At 42.1% G+C, this 16,256-nt stretch overlaps 1 protein-coding gene across 4 annotated transcripts in view; it reads left to right on the forward strand.

The window, feature by feature from the left end:
• Positions 1 to 16,256, forward strand: part of CTNNBL1 (catenin beta like 1) — a 178,089-nt gene that overhangs the window by 63,290 nt on the left and 98,543 nt on the right. For all 4 annotated transcript variants that reach the window (XM_024451947.2, NM_001281495.2, NM_030877.5 and 1 more), the window contains 3 exons: positions 240 to 337; positions 7,878 to 7,971; positions 10,634 to 10,725. In XM_024451947.2, the coding sequence (XP_024307715.1) occupies positions 240 to 337; positions 7,878 to 7,971; positions 10,634 to 10,725 (284 nt within the window). The remainder of the gene's footprint in view (positions 1 to 239; positions 338 to 7,877; positions 7,972 to 10,633; positions 10,726 to 16,256) is intronic.

The following is a 16,256-nucleotide window of genomic DNA, read 5'->3' on the forward strand; positions in this document are numbered from 1 at the left end:
GTGAACCTGTGGACTAAGCAGCCAGGAAGGCAGCATAAGGCAAGAGACTGAGTGAGTCAGTTAACATTTAATGAACACCTGCTGTGGGTAGAACCTTGTTGAAGAGATGTTAATAAAACTGGAGTCTATTAAAGGTAGATGGTGATAAAGCAATTGATGAGGAAACGGAAGGGAATCAAGGATTAAGAAAAATACTGGTACCGTTTCAGTATGTGTGTTATACCCTTAACATTTTTCACATGTGTCCATAGCTGTGGTCGATTTGCTTCAGGAATTAACAGATATAGACACCCTCCATGAGAGTGAAGAGGGAGCAGAAGTGCTCATCGATGCTCTGGTAAGTTGCACATCCTCTGGGGTTTTGCAGGTTTGTATAAGTTGTTGGCATTGCCACCACCATCGTCTCGGAGAGTGGCCACCAGGTGGAACTCCACGGCAAGGCTGGAGTGTGGTGAGGCTGGAGTGAATAAGGAGAGTAAAAAAGTAGAGATGTGGCTGGGGCAGTGCTTTATGCTTTGGGACTGTGTCAGGTAGAGGCCTCGCCCTTATTAAGTCTCTGCTGTGGGCAGGGCCATTTCTCATTCTTCTCACCACATCCTCTCACATGGGCATTATTGCTATTATTTCCATTTACAGCCATGAAGCTGTGACTTAGGCCAAACAAATGGCCCATGGTCACACAGCCAGGATTTGAACCTGTGGTCTCCTAGACTCTATGTTTTCTGCCCCTTTCTTCCCTCCTCTCTTTTGTTGCTACTGACCTTTTTACAAAGAGCTTTCACAAATGTTTTTCTCATCTGGACTTTCTAATCCCAAGTGCCAGTGAGAACAGGTATTATTATTATTACTTATTTTACAGATAGGTCATCAGAGAGGAATTGGAGAATGTCGAAAATAAGAACAAACTTTATAGCTCATTGAGGCCAGAATGGCATTCCCTGCCTGTAGACGACAAGGCAGTTGATTTCTGCCATCTTTTGAGGAGCCTAGGCAAGGCCTCAGAATGTTCCTTAGCTATTGATCCACACAGCAGCTAACCCAGAGGAGTTGGTCTGTGAGGCGCAGCTGTGACCAGGTGCCAGCTAGGCAAACTGCCTTACATGTGAGGAAACCCAGCTGCAGAAGTGAAGCCTCCCGCTGGGTCGCTCAGCCCGTCCTGTGACAGCTGATAAAAGAGACTGCATGTTCTGATCCCCAACACAATTCTGTTTCCACTGCCCCAGATTCCCCAGTTCACTGGTGATCAGAAAGGGCCACAAAGCTGCAAAGGCACCCCAGCTGGCCAGCGGCAGAAGTGCATCTAGTCCAGCCCCTACCCTGATACCACCTGTGGAGCTCTGTCCACCTGCAGAGCTGTATCCCTCCTCAAGGCTCTGTGGATTGTTCTTCTTCTGTTGTTTCTCTTGTCTTTTCTCTCTGGTAAGAATGTTAGTATTGGTTTTGACTCAGTTAGCAGTTGATCAAAGATTACTCCAGCCACTAGTATTAGAAGCACCTGGGCTGCTTGTTTGGCTACTTTCTAGTCCTACCCAAGACCCACTGAATCAGAATGGCTGGGCCTGGGGTCCCAGATGATCCCGAAACCCCACTGCTACACTGCCCACCCCCTCCTCACCCTTTCTCATAATGTTCTCGACACTAGAAATTTCCCATGTGCCGTGCTTGCTGTTGGCATTTGGTGTGAATGAAGGGGTTGTGAACCCACTGGTTATGAAGAACTGGCTCTTACAGAGAGTGAGGCTAGTGTCCAGCAGGGCCATTTATGACCGAATATAATGAAAATTTCTATGGCCATTTTTCTTTCAGGCTCCTTTAGAGAGCAAACTGCTACTTTTGTAGAATTCAGGGCATTTATTTTTCGTTTGAACCACTGTGCAGAAAGAAGAGGATGATGTTGGGATGTCGTTTTGTTTTGAGGGGCGTCTGAGGAAAGACTGTGGCACTTGCTCCTACTCTGTGTCCCTGCAGTGTCGTTTGTGCAGTCTTACCTTCCAGAGGTTAATTACATGGCCCTGAATGAGCCTTCCTGCTTGGTCCCTGGGCTGATTTTAATTACCATCCTTTGCCTGTCTGAATAGGGAAGACGAGAGAGGAACAGCTAGCCTGGCTGTTGCATGTAAAACATACCCAGAAACAGCAATTCACTCAAAAGCCCCCTTTGTTTTTTCTGTGTTGTCAAGCCCACTGACAAAAGCTGCATCTTGGCAGATTTTATTGTTTGTTTGGAAAGAAACAGTTCACCCTCAGTCTGGGGAGCCACTAGGTAACTGCTATACAGGATGTTCTGTTTGTTTAGTTTAGTTTTTATTTTTATTATTATTATATTAGTTTAAGATTTTGACTCTTACAGGTTTATCCTGGTGGGGCTGGTAGGAATCACAAGCATTGAACATTCCTGGACTCCAGTAGATTATTTGCTTGTCTGCAACCAGTCGGAAGTCATCAGTAAATATCAGAGAACAGAACCAGCGGTGGTCTTCCATTTACTTTTTTTACTCTTGGCTGCATTCAGGAAGAAATTTGATAAGTACTCTCATATTACAAGGGTTGAGTTGTCTTTGTAGTTTTAATTTGAGGCCAATATCTGAGGCCTAGAATTGCACGAGCAGAGGCTAGAGGGCATGTGGCAGAATTTATTGTGGTGTGCAGTTTGCAGTTATTGCTTTGGTCTTTTTCCCAGTTGGAAGTCCTAAGCAATAGGATGGCACATTTGTGGGGAAAGAACACTGTCCTGGCATTCTCAGGGATCTTCGGGGTTTTAAAATTTGGTTCATATCCACTGCTGTTACTTACGCAAAAGGCAAATATTTGTGCTTTGTAACAAGTTGATCTGGTAGCCTGGAAAATGGACTCTTTTCTGAAGAGTGGTAAGCGAGAGGGTATATTGCTTTGATGGCAATTCTCTGGCTTACCTCTCCAAAGATGACTTTGGACTTCTTGAGAATGATGATTAAATTACAGTCATTTTTCTACTTGCCAGTCCCCAAACTTGCCATGTGCTAGGTAGTCCCATGCCTTCGCTCATGCTTTGCCTTCCACTTGCCTAGCCTTGCTTCTCTGGGGCTACCTGGAATACTACCTCTCATCCCTTTATCTCTTCCCTTTTGAGTTTTTTCCAGACTCATCACCTCAGCAGGATGTGTTGTTCTAGCACTTTGTACATTCTGGCACTTGTCACATTGGATTATAGATGTCTGTTTATAAGTTTGTCCTTCCTGAGGTGTGATCCCCGTCAGGGGAGTGGTCAGAGCAGTGACTTTGTCATTTACCAATTCTGTGTCCTTGGGAAAGTTACTAACCTCTCCATACTGTTTCTTTCTCTGTAAAATGGAGATAACAGTAGTGCCTATCATACAGTACCAAAGTGATGAACAAGTGAGATATTTAATAAGTCTTTAGAACAGTCTGGCACAGAGTAAACACCTGATAAATGTTGGCCATTATCATTATAAAGGTACTATGCCTGGCAGATATTAAGCATTTAGCAAATGTCAGGTTAAAATTGTATGTATCATCTACCACACAGTGAGATGTCTGTGAATATTGAGTTCACAAACATTTTTTTCAGTTTAAAAAATATTTCAAAAACATTTTGAACAAACACTCAATAAAACCACATTTGGATGGGGTGGGCCTAAATAAGAAATGAGAGGATAGAGCTTTAGTTTAAAAAAAAAAAAAAAGGAAGAAGTAAGTAATGATAATACAAGGCAGAACATTGAAAACAGCTATGAGAGGGGCAGTGTTCTGTGGACATGAAGAGAGAGTGCTCGCTTCTGATGGAATAATCAGGAAGGGCTGCAGAGATGCAGGCATCGGTGATGGCCTCTGAAAGGGGGCTTTAATATGAGAGCATATGGAGGTGTCCCAGCCAACAGAGATGGAAGTGTGGCTGGGTGGTGTAGCTGGCCAGTGTCTAGGAGCCAGCATTTGCTTTATAGAAACGCTTTATAGAGTTCCACAAAAAGTGGCTTTGATGTGGACTGCCAGGGGACTACCCTCCATACTCATTCCTGCACTAAATTAACTCTACTGAAATGTTAAACTTTGAAGCCCTATCTTGGTTTGCCTTGGACTTGGTTGGCAATGGATTTGTGCTGCCCAGGTGAGGCTGAGGTTGGCCAGGTTTATGTTGCTGTAAGGGTACTTACTATGAAAATTCCTGGATTCTATTCCTTCCCATTTCCATTCATGTTCTCACCTTCATCTGTATTTGTTCCAAAGCAAAATTCATTTGTTCATTTGTTCACTAAATGTTTATTGAATGCTTGATGTGTTCCTGATTGTAGGAACCAGCTATATAGCTGTGAGCAAGCCTGACAAAGCCTCTGCTTTTGTGGAGCTCACAAGGTATGAGTGTAGGGAGAGACAGTAGATACATAAACAAGAAAACTATCAGAGAGTGGTTCTCTGTTTAAGAGAATTAAAATAGAGTGATGTGATGTAGAGTAGCTGGGAAGTCAGGTTGGATTAAATAGTCAGGCAAGGCCTGAGTTCTGGAAGAAACCAGCCATTCAAAATGATCAAGAGCAGGATGGGAAAAGGGCAGAAGACCTAAGGCAAGACTGAGGTTGACATATTCAAGGAACAGAGAAGGGGCCAGTCTTGTTAATGTGCAGCTGGGGCGAGGGGAGAAAGCAGAGTCAGGGCCAGACCACGCTGGGCTCTGTGGGCCTTGGTGAAGAGGTTGGGTGGCATTGCCAGGGTGAAGGGAAGTAATTAGAAGATATAAGCAGGGGAGTGGTGTCATAGCCTGACAGCATTTTAAACAGAGCATCTAGCTGCTGTGTGGATAATGGACTGGAGGGGCAAGAATGGAAGCTAAAAGGTTACAGCTAGGATACAACAGGCCTGAGTTTTGCATTATGACCATGTTACCATATTATTCTCAAAACTTGTTTGATCAAGATTCAGTGGGTGTGGGGTTTTATTGTTATTACTGTGTTTTAAATATGAAATTCCTGAAACTCCTAGTAGGCAGAAAAATCCCAATCTCATTCTTGAGAAAGCTTATTGGCAGATCGTACCAGATAGAAAAAGAAGCCTCCTTCAAACCCTCTCATCTGTCTCTTTTTTATTTCCTCCTCTTCTCTTATATCCATCCTCTTTGGTCAAGTGGAAGATGATGTGTGATCATGCCCTTGAACTTTAACTCCCGGAATATTGTTTGGGATGCCTGCTAACAATCAGAAATAACAAATGACTTAGCAGAAAACATCACACCCCAGACAGTCCTGATTTCCAAGGCAAGGGTTGCCCTGGCTGATGCTTTAATCCCTAAGCAGGATTTGTTTTTAGTTTCAGACTTTGTCACAGGTCCAGAAAATTGAAGGTAGACCCAAGGGGTTAGAGGGAATAGAATAGAATGCTAATATGTACTTTTACTGAGCGATATCCAGAGCTATGCATAATATAAATATTTTTTGAAGGGTTTTCTGAGCTAAATGTATTTTGACTGCTTTTGGCCTTCCTGCAATCAGATAAAATTGCATTTAACCCAACTAAACATAAAGTTTCACAGTTTGCAAGCTTAAAAAGGCTGCCTGTTAGAAGTTGGATTTCCGTAGCAAGAAGAAAGATTTTCCTCCAGCCAGAGGCCCATTATCCATAACCATTCAGCTCTAGGACTTAAATGCATTGCTCACTGACAGTGTCCCCACTAGCTTCTAGGCAGCAGAGATGGGAAACATAACTAAGAATCAAAGAAAGGAGGGAAAATAATGCAGGTAAAGCGGCAATAAGCAATTGAAATTGGTGTAGCAGTTTGCAGAACTGGCAAGCAGTGTGATACCCAGTGGAGTGGCGGTGTCTGCTGCTTTAGGATTCAGGGAGATTATAAGTCAATCAGGGTGATTTAGGGAAAAACATACTGTGACATGGTTCATATTTTCCCCCCAGATGTTTTTCTGTTTTCTCTCACGTACTCAAAATGTCCAGTTAATTAAGGAAAACACTGTAGTGGATTTCTTTAGTGAAGCTTTTGCTGGCTGTGAGATTTGAGAGCAAGATTGTGTAGCTCTTGGCACAAGATGGGAAAACAGCACTTTCCTGTATTTACAGGCTCCCAAATCTGGCATCAGTGTTTCTTCAAATAGCATCCCCTCCTTTTTCCTCATACCAGGGCATAAAGGAGAGCCTAGAAAAATCTAATTCATTTGTGATTCAGGTATCACAAATTAGTCAATAATTTCACCTTTCCCTTGTCCGTGTATTTCCCTTAAGCCTCACCCAGACAGAGTAAAGAGTCCATGTTTCAAGATCTATGCCACCTACCATTGCCTGCCTCCTCAAGCTTGGTTTGAATTGTGTCTATAGAATACCTTACACGCAAGGACTCTGGAAGTATTGGTTGGATGAGATCGTTTCCTTCTTTTTTCTCCCTCCATTCTCTCCCGTCATTGAATTAATGGGGGATTATGGGAAAAAGTAGAGTTGGAGTTGGGCACTTCTGCCACCAGCTTTGTGACTTCAGTCAGGCTAATTAACCTCTCAGAGCCTTTACTTTCTCACCTGTGAAAGATGTGAGAATTACATGAGGATAAATGGAGCAATTACAGTGCACAAACTATGTGTTCCATCAATTTATTTAAATCTAGCAAGATTTACTGAGTATCTGCCGTATATGGCATTGTAGTAGACTTGGGGTATACAAAGATGAATGAAGCAAGGTGCCTGCCTTTCAGGAACTTGGCTTTTTCTTAGCCAGTGGAAGAGAGGAACTGTGAATAATCAGGCATCAACAGGGTAAAGGGCTAGATTCAAACCTTCTGCTTGATTCTTTGAGGAGCTGCCATGAACTAGACCTAGGGTAAGGCCTGTTACATATTTTCATTTACTCTTTAGCACTTATCCCCATTTCATAAGTGAGGAAACCGAAACACTGAGAGGGAGGATAACGCAAATATGCAGCAGACCGTGTCTTCAGATGTGGCTTTACTTATTGGCTGTGCTTAAGAATCCATTACCAGATGGATCATCCCTTCCTGATGATAGAAAACTAGATGTTTCCTTAGTTATCTTCCTTGGTGTGCCTCAGGGCTACCTAAGGGCAGTCTCCTTAGAACACAGATTGTGCACAGGAGGTAGCATGAAGTAGTAAAAGCATTATTTCACCTAAGGAGAAGGAAGCCTGGGTTTTGCCTTTGCCTCCACTGCTCCATAGCTGTGTAGTCTTGGCTGAGTCACTAATGTCTTGAACATCAGCTGTATGATGTGGCTACTGAAAGTTTCCTATCTGTTTCAACATGTGTGACTCCATTAAGAGAAATACAGTAGCTTTCTGTGCATTCAATGTCATACAAATAGAAGACATTTTATTGTGTTGATTATTCCTTTTAAGAGGGAACTATAAATTCTTCATAAGTAGTAGTTTCATAAAAGCTTAGCAAGGAAACAGGAATGTTTTGAGGTCAACATAGAATGTGGCTGGTGCACATTCTAGTGAAACATCTTTTGGTGCATTGGCCTAAAGACGTGTTTTGGCTTGAATGAACCGTTGACCTGACTTAAGATGGCATTCTCGTAAGGTAGTACCACAGAGAAGGAGAACGAGCACAGGGCTTGGTTTCAGATGGTCTGTGTTCAAGTGCTAACACTGTCACTCACCAACCTTTTAACCTTGAATTTTACTTTGTCTGCTTGAGCTCCAGTTGACTCATCTGAAGTTAGAGATAATGATGCCTGCCTTTTACTTACCTCAGGGTCACTTTAAGACTTAAAAGAGATAATGGGATGGGAGAGCACCTTGTAAACCATAGATTGCTGCTTATTTACTTACTTTGTTCATTCAAATAGTGGAGAAGTAAGTATGGGAACGGGAACATTTTGGGGACCATTTTATGACATCCCTCTCTCCTTTTGCTTCGCTATTCTTGCAGGTGGATGGGCAGGTGGTAGCACTGCTGGTACAGAATCTGGAGCGCCTGGATGAGTCTGTGAAAGAGGAGGCAGATGGCGTCCACAACACTCTGGGTGAGAGGAAGGGTGCTTGCCATTGCCTGAGTTGCTTTGTGTTTGTTTTGGGACTCTGTGCTCATTTCCCTTCCTTCTTCATAATAGAGTCAATAGCAGGCTGTTTTCCTTCCTTCTGCTCCCAAACTGCCTTCTCAGAAATGAAGACCTTTGTGTAAATTTCATATAACTTCAGCTTTGGTTTGGCTTGTAGGTAATGAAAGCAGAAATCCACTAAGTAGGTAACCTTCCTAAACAAAAAACCAGTGGCTCTGGTTAGCGGGCCTTCGCCTCCAAAAGTTAGGATGAAACCTATGCTGGTTAATTTTGTTTCCTTTGGAATGTGTATATTTAAACATTTTAAATCCTTTTAAGTCGTTTTTTCTTATCACTTTTCTTTCATGGAACTGCAAACTTTTGGACCATTCTGTACCTTTGTAGGACATTTTATTTGAAAAAGAGTTTTTCTCTCTCTTCTTAGGTGTAGACTACCACGTAAACTGTGATTTGAAATATTGCTACTACTTGGCTGTCCCTACATCAGATTTTCATTTAAGTGGATTCCTCTGTAGTATTTCTCCTCTTCCTTCTCCTCCTTGAATCTCCCCAGTCTTTCCTTTTGTAAAGTTGTTGAACCGATATCCTATTTAAAATTGTGTTTTGGGGGTAGCTCTCTTTATTACTGGTCACTGTCTTATAAAACCAGAGATGACATATCTGTAAACAGAGCTTGAGAAATGAACAAGGCCCAGTGGAAGCAGAAAATTTGATGAGATTAGATTTTTTTTTTTTAGCTTCTTTGTGTACCACAGATTTCTATTGTAGTTCTGGACTCTGTTCCCTGAGGATTATCATAAAGAAGGGGAAACATGGGCACCTGGGGGGAAGAGGAGGAACACAACACTCTGTAATTTGGGTTGGCTGTAGTCTAGAGCCAGAATTTGGCATTGCCATTTGTTAGCAGAGTGCTGGATTTTGCGGTATCAAAAGTCTGTTAACTGACTGCTAACTGTCTGTTAATAAAAAGTACCAGCCTGCCAGTCTACAGAGATCTATTTGCAGCTCGGTCAGCTACTAACAGCTCAGGAGAGTCTTCCCTCTCTCTCACTTATTGAGTGCCTGATGTTTGTCAGGCACTGTGCTAGGTACTAGGGTAGATTATGGTGAAGTAGGCATGGTTCTGCTCCTGACAGGGCAGACAGATAGGTGAGTCTTGAAAAGAAAGGAAAGACAATGCTGGGTGACAGACGGTATCGTAGGAGTCAGTGAAAAGCACTGTGGGAATGAAGAGGAAGAGCCTCCAAATTGCTGGATAGGAGCAGCTAGCTCCTGTGCATGACTGTGGCTGAATATGAAGACAGGTGCATTTTGACAGGTGGAGGAGTGGGAGAAGGGCCTTCATGAGGGGAGTATCATTTGCAAAGTCATGAATGGGGCTGGGATTTGAGGAAAGACTAGAAATGGCCTGTGACAGTCAGAGGTGGGAGATGGAACTGGAGGAATAAGTTTGTCCAGATAATGGAAGACCTTGTAAACCATGGCAGGAAGCTTGGATTTTGTTCGAGTGAACAATAGGAAGCCATCTAAAATATAAGCAGAAGAATAGGATAAAGTCATGGAAGATTAAAACGAATGAGTTGATTTTTGTAGGAAATGGCAGAAAGTAATTCAGGGTGTCGTAGTGCTCTTCATCTCTCAGGGTTTCCTTGCTCCTCTGCTCCCACAGCTTCGTGCTTCCCCTGCCTGGTCATCCTTTAACTTGCCACTGGGGAGGCTGATGTGGGCAAAGGAGTGAGAAAGAAGACAGGAGGTGTGGTGATTTCTTCAGCCCTTTCTCCTTCAAAATTCACACCCAATGTGTTCTGGGTATTGTGTTTAGGGAACACAGAAGTGTATCTGTTTCATGCTAGTAACATATTCCAGGATACGGATTGGAAGGGGGGCTGAAAGAAATGAAACCATTTGATATTAAGGACTCTAGGTGATTAAAAAAAAAGAGATCTCCTTTTTCGTATCATAGTCATGCAATAACTTTTTTTTCCTCCTAATTTTTAATTTTTCTATTAAGCAACACTTTGGCTGTTGTAGGAGATAGCAGGACCAATTATATTTGCTTCCTAGTACCTGGGAGTTACCTCTGCCAGCATGGCCTTTCCCCTCTGTGCATGTTATTTTGTTCAATTAAAAAGACCATGCTTGCCTGCTTTGCAATATTCTTGCTTCCACCTGATGCAGGGAAATAGAACTGCAAATGGATGAATCAGGAAAGGAAGCGACTCTTGAGTTCACCAGACCCTGAGTTTTCCCTAAGGCTTTTGCCTAGCTCCCAATCTCTTTGGTTATGGGTTTCTGGGACTCATTAGGGACTGGGTGGGACTTCTTAGGTAGATACCCACCCTTTTGTGTGTTCCGCTCTAGTGTTGTTCCCTATTAGCATGGAAAATCTATCACTTAGCTCTTTTGTGAGTTCCATCATTTTCAGTTATGAGTTTTACCTGTAGCATAACTGGAAGAAGAAAACCACAGCAACTCCCTGGTTAATCTGAAAATGACAACCCAGCATCTGGCTGGGAGTAATGCAGGGAAGTGGGGAGAGGAATAACATGCCTGTCATGGGAAGCAAGCTTGTTGCAGATGGAAACAAAGTTGTCCTCCCAAATGACTGGTGTCTGTCTCCCTTCAGCTATTGTGGAAAACATGGCTGAGTTCCGGCCTGAGATGTGTACAGAGGGTGCCCAGCAGGGTCTTCTACAGTGGCTGTTGAAGAGGCTGAAGGTGAGTTTGGCTGTGGGGAACTGCAGCTCACACCTGTCTTTGCTCTGGGCTTGATTGATGCTGGGTTATTGGCATAGACTGTTATGCTGGGCCATATGATCTAGTTTGGGAAGCTTCTGGTACCTCTTGCTTCTTTCTTCTCCGTTTTTGTTCGTTTTAAAACAAGAGGCTTTAAAAATAGTCTTTAGTACCTCTGAAAATACAAACGTTATAAATACAAATTCATGTGATACAAAAGGTATAAAACTGAAAAGATCCCCTCTGCTGATCCCTTGTAGTTCCACTTCTCAGAGGCAGTCACTGTTAACAATATTATATCCATTCTCTCAGAAATTTTCTGTGTATATGAGAGAGTGTGTGTTTCACAAACAGAATTATGTAATATTTTCTTATGCAAGTTGATTTTCTCACTGAACTAATTATTGCCTAGTTAGTATTCCACTATGCTGATGTACCAAAATTAATCTCATCATTCCCACTGGTAAGTTTGTAGTGTTATAAACAGTGCGGCTGTGAATACAGTAGTCCCCTCTTATCTGTGGTTTTGCTTTCTGCGTTTTAGTTACTCACAGTTAACCATGGTCTGAAAACAGGTAAATATAGTACTAAAAGGTATTTTGAGAGAGAGACCACATTCACAAAACTTTTCTTACAGTATGTTGTTATAATAGTTCTATTTTATTATTGTTGTTAATTTCTTACTGTGCCTAATTTAGAAACTTTTTTTTGTTTTTTTGTTTTTTCTTTTGAAACTGAGTCTCACTCACTCTGTTGCCCAGGATGGAGTACAGTGGCATGATCTTGGCTCACTGCAACCTCTGCCTCCCGGGTTAAGGTGATTCTCCTGCCTCAGCTTCCCGAGTAGCTGGGATTACAGGTGTGCGCCACCACGCCTGGCTAATTTTTGTATTTTTAGTAGAGACGGGGTTTCACCATGTTGGCCAGGCTAGTCTCGAACTCCTGATCTCAAGTGATCCACCCGCCTTGGTCTCCCAGAGTGCTGGGATTACAGGCGTGAAACACCGTGCCTGGCCTATAAATTAAACTTTATTATAGGTACATATATAGGAAAAAAACATAGTAAATACAGAATTTATCTGTAGTTTCAGGCATCCACTGGGGGCCTTGGATCCTATCCCCCACAGATAAGGGAGGGACTGCTGTATACAGACTTTTTAAAATATACATTTGTCTCAGTTTATCTGTACGATAAATTCATAGAAGTAGAATTGATAGGCCAAAGGCTATGCACCTTAACATTTTTTGTAGTATTGCAAAATTATTCCCACTGATTTATCATATCCCACTGATAAATCAGCTGCCCCACTGATTTAGAGTTATCTGTTTCCCTCTGCTTCTAGTTAATCTGATAGTGAAAACTGGTATTATTTTAATTTGTAATTTTAACATCAAGTGAAGTGTGTTGGCTTCTTGTTGATTAGCCATTTGTATTCATGTCTTTTAGCTTCATATTTATATTCTTTGTCCATATTTCTATTGAATTGTTCATTCTCTTAGCATAGTCCTTGTGATTGTCTTTTTAACAGTTAGTATTGTCTAATAGAGTAAATGAGAAAAAGAAGAGGCAAGAGCTCCTCTCAGAACAGTTTGGACCAAAGGTGTGATGGGAGGCAGTTTGGAACTGCTTATATGCTATTGAAATGGCCCTCAGGCAGGCAAGGATCCTAACTTTTTGTGAGAAGGAGGCACTTGTTTGTAACTAAAGTAATGCTCTAAGTAATGGCCTTGCTCTGCTTCAGAATGTCACAAGCATCCAGAAAGTCTGGGGTGTATCAGGTCAGATTTGTCCTCCACTGTCTTGGCAGGGCTAAAGGAGAAGGTTCTGCCTAAGATATCATATGCTGCATGGTTTTCTCCGTTTCTGACACTCTAGTCTTCTCCAATCCTACTTATTCAGCCGTTTGTTCCCATTAAATCTGTAACCTTGATTTACATAACATATTGGCCCAAGGATGCTCAGCTAGCCCAGCTGCTACCATCAGTATGAGCACATTTGCCTAGCAGAGGTCAGTAAACTCTAACTCCCTCCAAACCCCATCCCTCTTGCCTTTCAGTCTTGCATCCAGCAAGTAGTTAATTCAGGCATTGTCATTTGCAACTTCCTTTTGACCTCCTCTCTTGAGTCTAAATATCCTTTGGTTTTAGAACTAGACTTGTTTCTCATTTAATTTCCTTTACATCTCTCTAAACTCCGTTTCTTCTTTCCTCAGTATTCAACACATTTTTTATTCTCCAAAGCCTTGAGACATTTTGGGAACAACCAGTGGAGGAGAGGAAAGTAGAGCACCGAGTTTTAAGGGGATGGCGTAGATGTCAGGGACCTGAGTTGTTGGGGGAGTAGCCACACGTTAGGGACGCAACCTTGAAATACACAAAATAATTCAATAGTTTTTTTGTCTCTGTTATGTCGGGACAGATTTTTCCAAGTTACTTGAGACTTAATACTGATTCAGGGATCTTCATTAAACTAGAATGTCTTCTGCCAGAGTCTTTTTTTTTTTTTAATTGGTAACATAGGAAGGGAAATTGACTTTTGAGTGTTTGGCTTGGATGCCGTTACCCTTATGATCATAATGAAGGGGCCCATTTGATAGTTTAGCAAGCTATTGACTCTTGCCACATAGGCACTGCATTGATGTAATCCTCGGGGCACAAATAGCCATGTTGCTGTCTCTGAAACAGTTTTCAGGCTTTTAGGGATATTTAAACATCAAAATGCTATTTGGGTTTTTTACTGGTAAGCAAGTGCTTTTAGAAGAAAACTGTGCTGCCCAGGCTTAATTAATTCTTTCATTAATTAGTTAATGAAATAAAGTCCTGCTTAAGGGTGAGGCCAGCAAGAGGGCATGTCCTTCGCAGCAATGCCTTGCTCTTATTTCTCATAATCTGGGGAATGTTATAATCTTCATTCTCTTCAACATCGTGGTGACTCTTAGTGAGTACTGGACCCAGATCCTGACTTTCCCTTATTAGCTGTGTAATTGTGGGTAACGGCCTCTTAACTTTTCTGGCCTGTTTTCTCCTTTGAAAAATGGGGATCATACTCCCTGCCCTTCCAATCTCACAGGGTTATTGCGAAATCAAATATGATAATGCTTTTAAATTGTAAAGAGGTTATAGCAGTGGGTTTCAGCTGGGGGTTTGTATTAAGATCACCAATGGAACTGAACAAATACAGATTCCCACACTGTACCCTAGACCTACCGTCTCAGTCTCTGTCTTTGGTATATTTTAGAAAGGTTTCAAACACATGTGATTCTAATGTACAACTCTCACTAAGATCCACTTGTCTCAGGAAATGTGGACCTTCTTGTTAACCATTTTACTCTGGAGACTAATTTAAAACTCCATTTTCACTATGCTATTACCCATTCAGAAACTTACCTGGAGTGATGCTGTGCCTTCTACATCAGATCCCACCTTCTCTGCCTCTTACCCAGGCCCAGTTTGACCTTTTCATTTTCCAGTTTTGAAACATTGGCCTTTGTTACCTTTTAGATACCTTTTTTTTTTTTTAAACCTATCTCCTGCTCTGCAAAGGTCAAAATTATCTTGACCTCTGTGTCTGGCTTTGTTCATACTCCCAACTCTACCAGGAATGACTGGCTCCTCTCTTCCATTCGTATTTCTAAATTTTACACACCCTTCGTGAAACAGCTTAAATCCCTAATCTTCTGTGTAGCCTCTATCACTTTTAGAACTGAAAGGAAATCTGTAAGTTCTGTTGTAGATAAAAAATTTAAAATTGAGACCTATCGATATTAAGTGCCTTGCCCAAACCCCTGTAGCTAGTTAGAGATAGAGCTAGGATTAAGACCCAAGCCTCCAGAATTTTCTTCATGCCCCCTTTCCATAGTACTTTGCCCCCAGCCTATACTGCCCACTTTCTTTTATAAAAAATCAACACCTTCATCTTTTTCCAATGGGTTCTCTTGCAAGAGTTGGCCTATCTGGGTTCTAGCATCTACCCGTAACTGTGTGATGCTCGCCCTCATGGAGCATCTTCTCTCCATCTGTAAAGTGGAGATGACTCCATCACCTGGCCAACTTGAATATTCTTATGTGTGCTGATTTTCTTTCTCCAAATATCTCTAAATTTTATAATTACAAGGACCATGTCTCTGTCATATCTGTACCTCCTCCCAGCTGTTCTCAAACTGTGGTTCCCAGCCAGGAGCATCAGCATCACCTAGTGCCTTGTTAGGCAAATTCTTGGGTCCACCCAGACCCACTGAGTCTGCAAAGTTGGAGTGGAGCCTGGTAGTCTGTGTTTGTTGCTGTTGTTGTTGTTTTTGTTGTTTTTGAGACGGAGTCTCACTCTGTCACCCAGGCTGGAGTGCAGTGGCGATCTTGGCTCACTGCAAGCTCCGTCTCCTGGGTTCACGCCATTCTCCTGCCTCAACCTCCTGAGTAGCTAGGACTACAGGCGCCCGCCACCACATCCGGCTAATTTTTTGTATTTTTAGTAGAGATGGGGTTTCACCGTATTAGCCAGGATGGTATCGATCTCCTGACCTTGTGATCCGCCCGCCTTGGCCTCCCAAAGTGCTGGGATTACAGGTGTAAGCCACTGCGCCCGGCCCAGTCTGAGTTTTAATAAGCCCTCAAGATGATTCTGATGTAAGCTGAAGTCTGAGAACCAAGGTTCTAGAGTAATTATGTCTAGATTGCTTGATAAAACCTTACGATTTGACTGATCATCTCATATTTATTCAGTAATCCTTGAGTGATTCTTAAGTGAGTGGCACACTGGTGACAGCATTCTAGTGTTGGATTTCTCCTTTTTGTACTGGTAGCCTAGCAGTATATAGAGATATTCATGGATCTCTTCATCCAACAAATCAACCCCCACTAATTTATTCTTATGAGGATAAAAACCACTGCAGATGATTGCATTAAATGGATTAACAGGTAAGTAGATAACAGTAGTGTGAGAGATGCTGCATCACAATTAATGTTTTTAATGGGGAATACAAGCTTATTAAGATATTACGTACTATTGAAAATAACAGCAAAACCAAGTATAAGATTCCCTCTTGTTACCCAGTTAAATCAATGCTTCAGAAACAGTTGCAGCGTTCAGTTAAGTTATATTACATGTACAACTGGTTGATGCTAAAGTTCTTAGCCTCTATGACCAGAGGTTGGGATTTTGTAGGGCACAATCTGCTTTGACAATTGTACAGAGCTGTAGATATGTCTGAACCTGCCCCATGTGTTCCAGGTAGCAGAGGTGAGCTACAGATATAACCTGCAGCTTCTGGCTGTGAGTGGTAGCATAATTGTTTTGTACTTTCCAGAAAAGCAGCAGCTCCCAAAAAGGTGAAGTGTAATTTTATTCAAGGCTAGTACATGCTGAGTACAAACCTATGCATGACTCTATAATTACTCTGACAGCTGAAAGATTTAAGAGAGCCAGGCTCCTGGATAGAAGAGAGCCCTACAAGTTCCAAGTCCCGCTGATTAACTTTGCAAAATCCAAGAGACTATACCTGCTAAGTAAAATCTCC

This window comes from Homo sapiens, chromosome 20, assembly GCF_000001405.40.
Source record: "Homo sapiens chromosome 20, GRCh38.p14 Primary Assembly".
In the NCBI taxonomy this organism is placed as follows: Eukaryota; Metazoa; Chordata; class Mammalia; order Primates; family Hominidae; genus Homo; species Homo sapiens.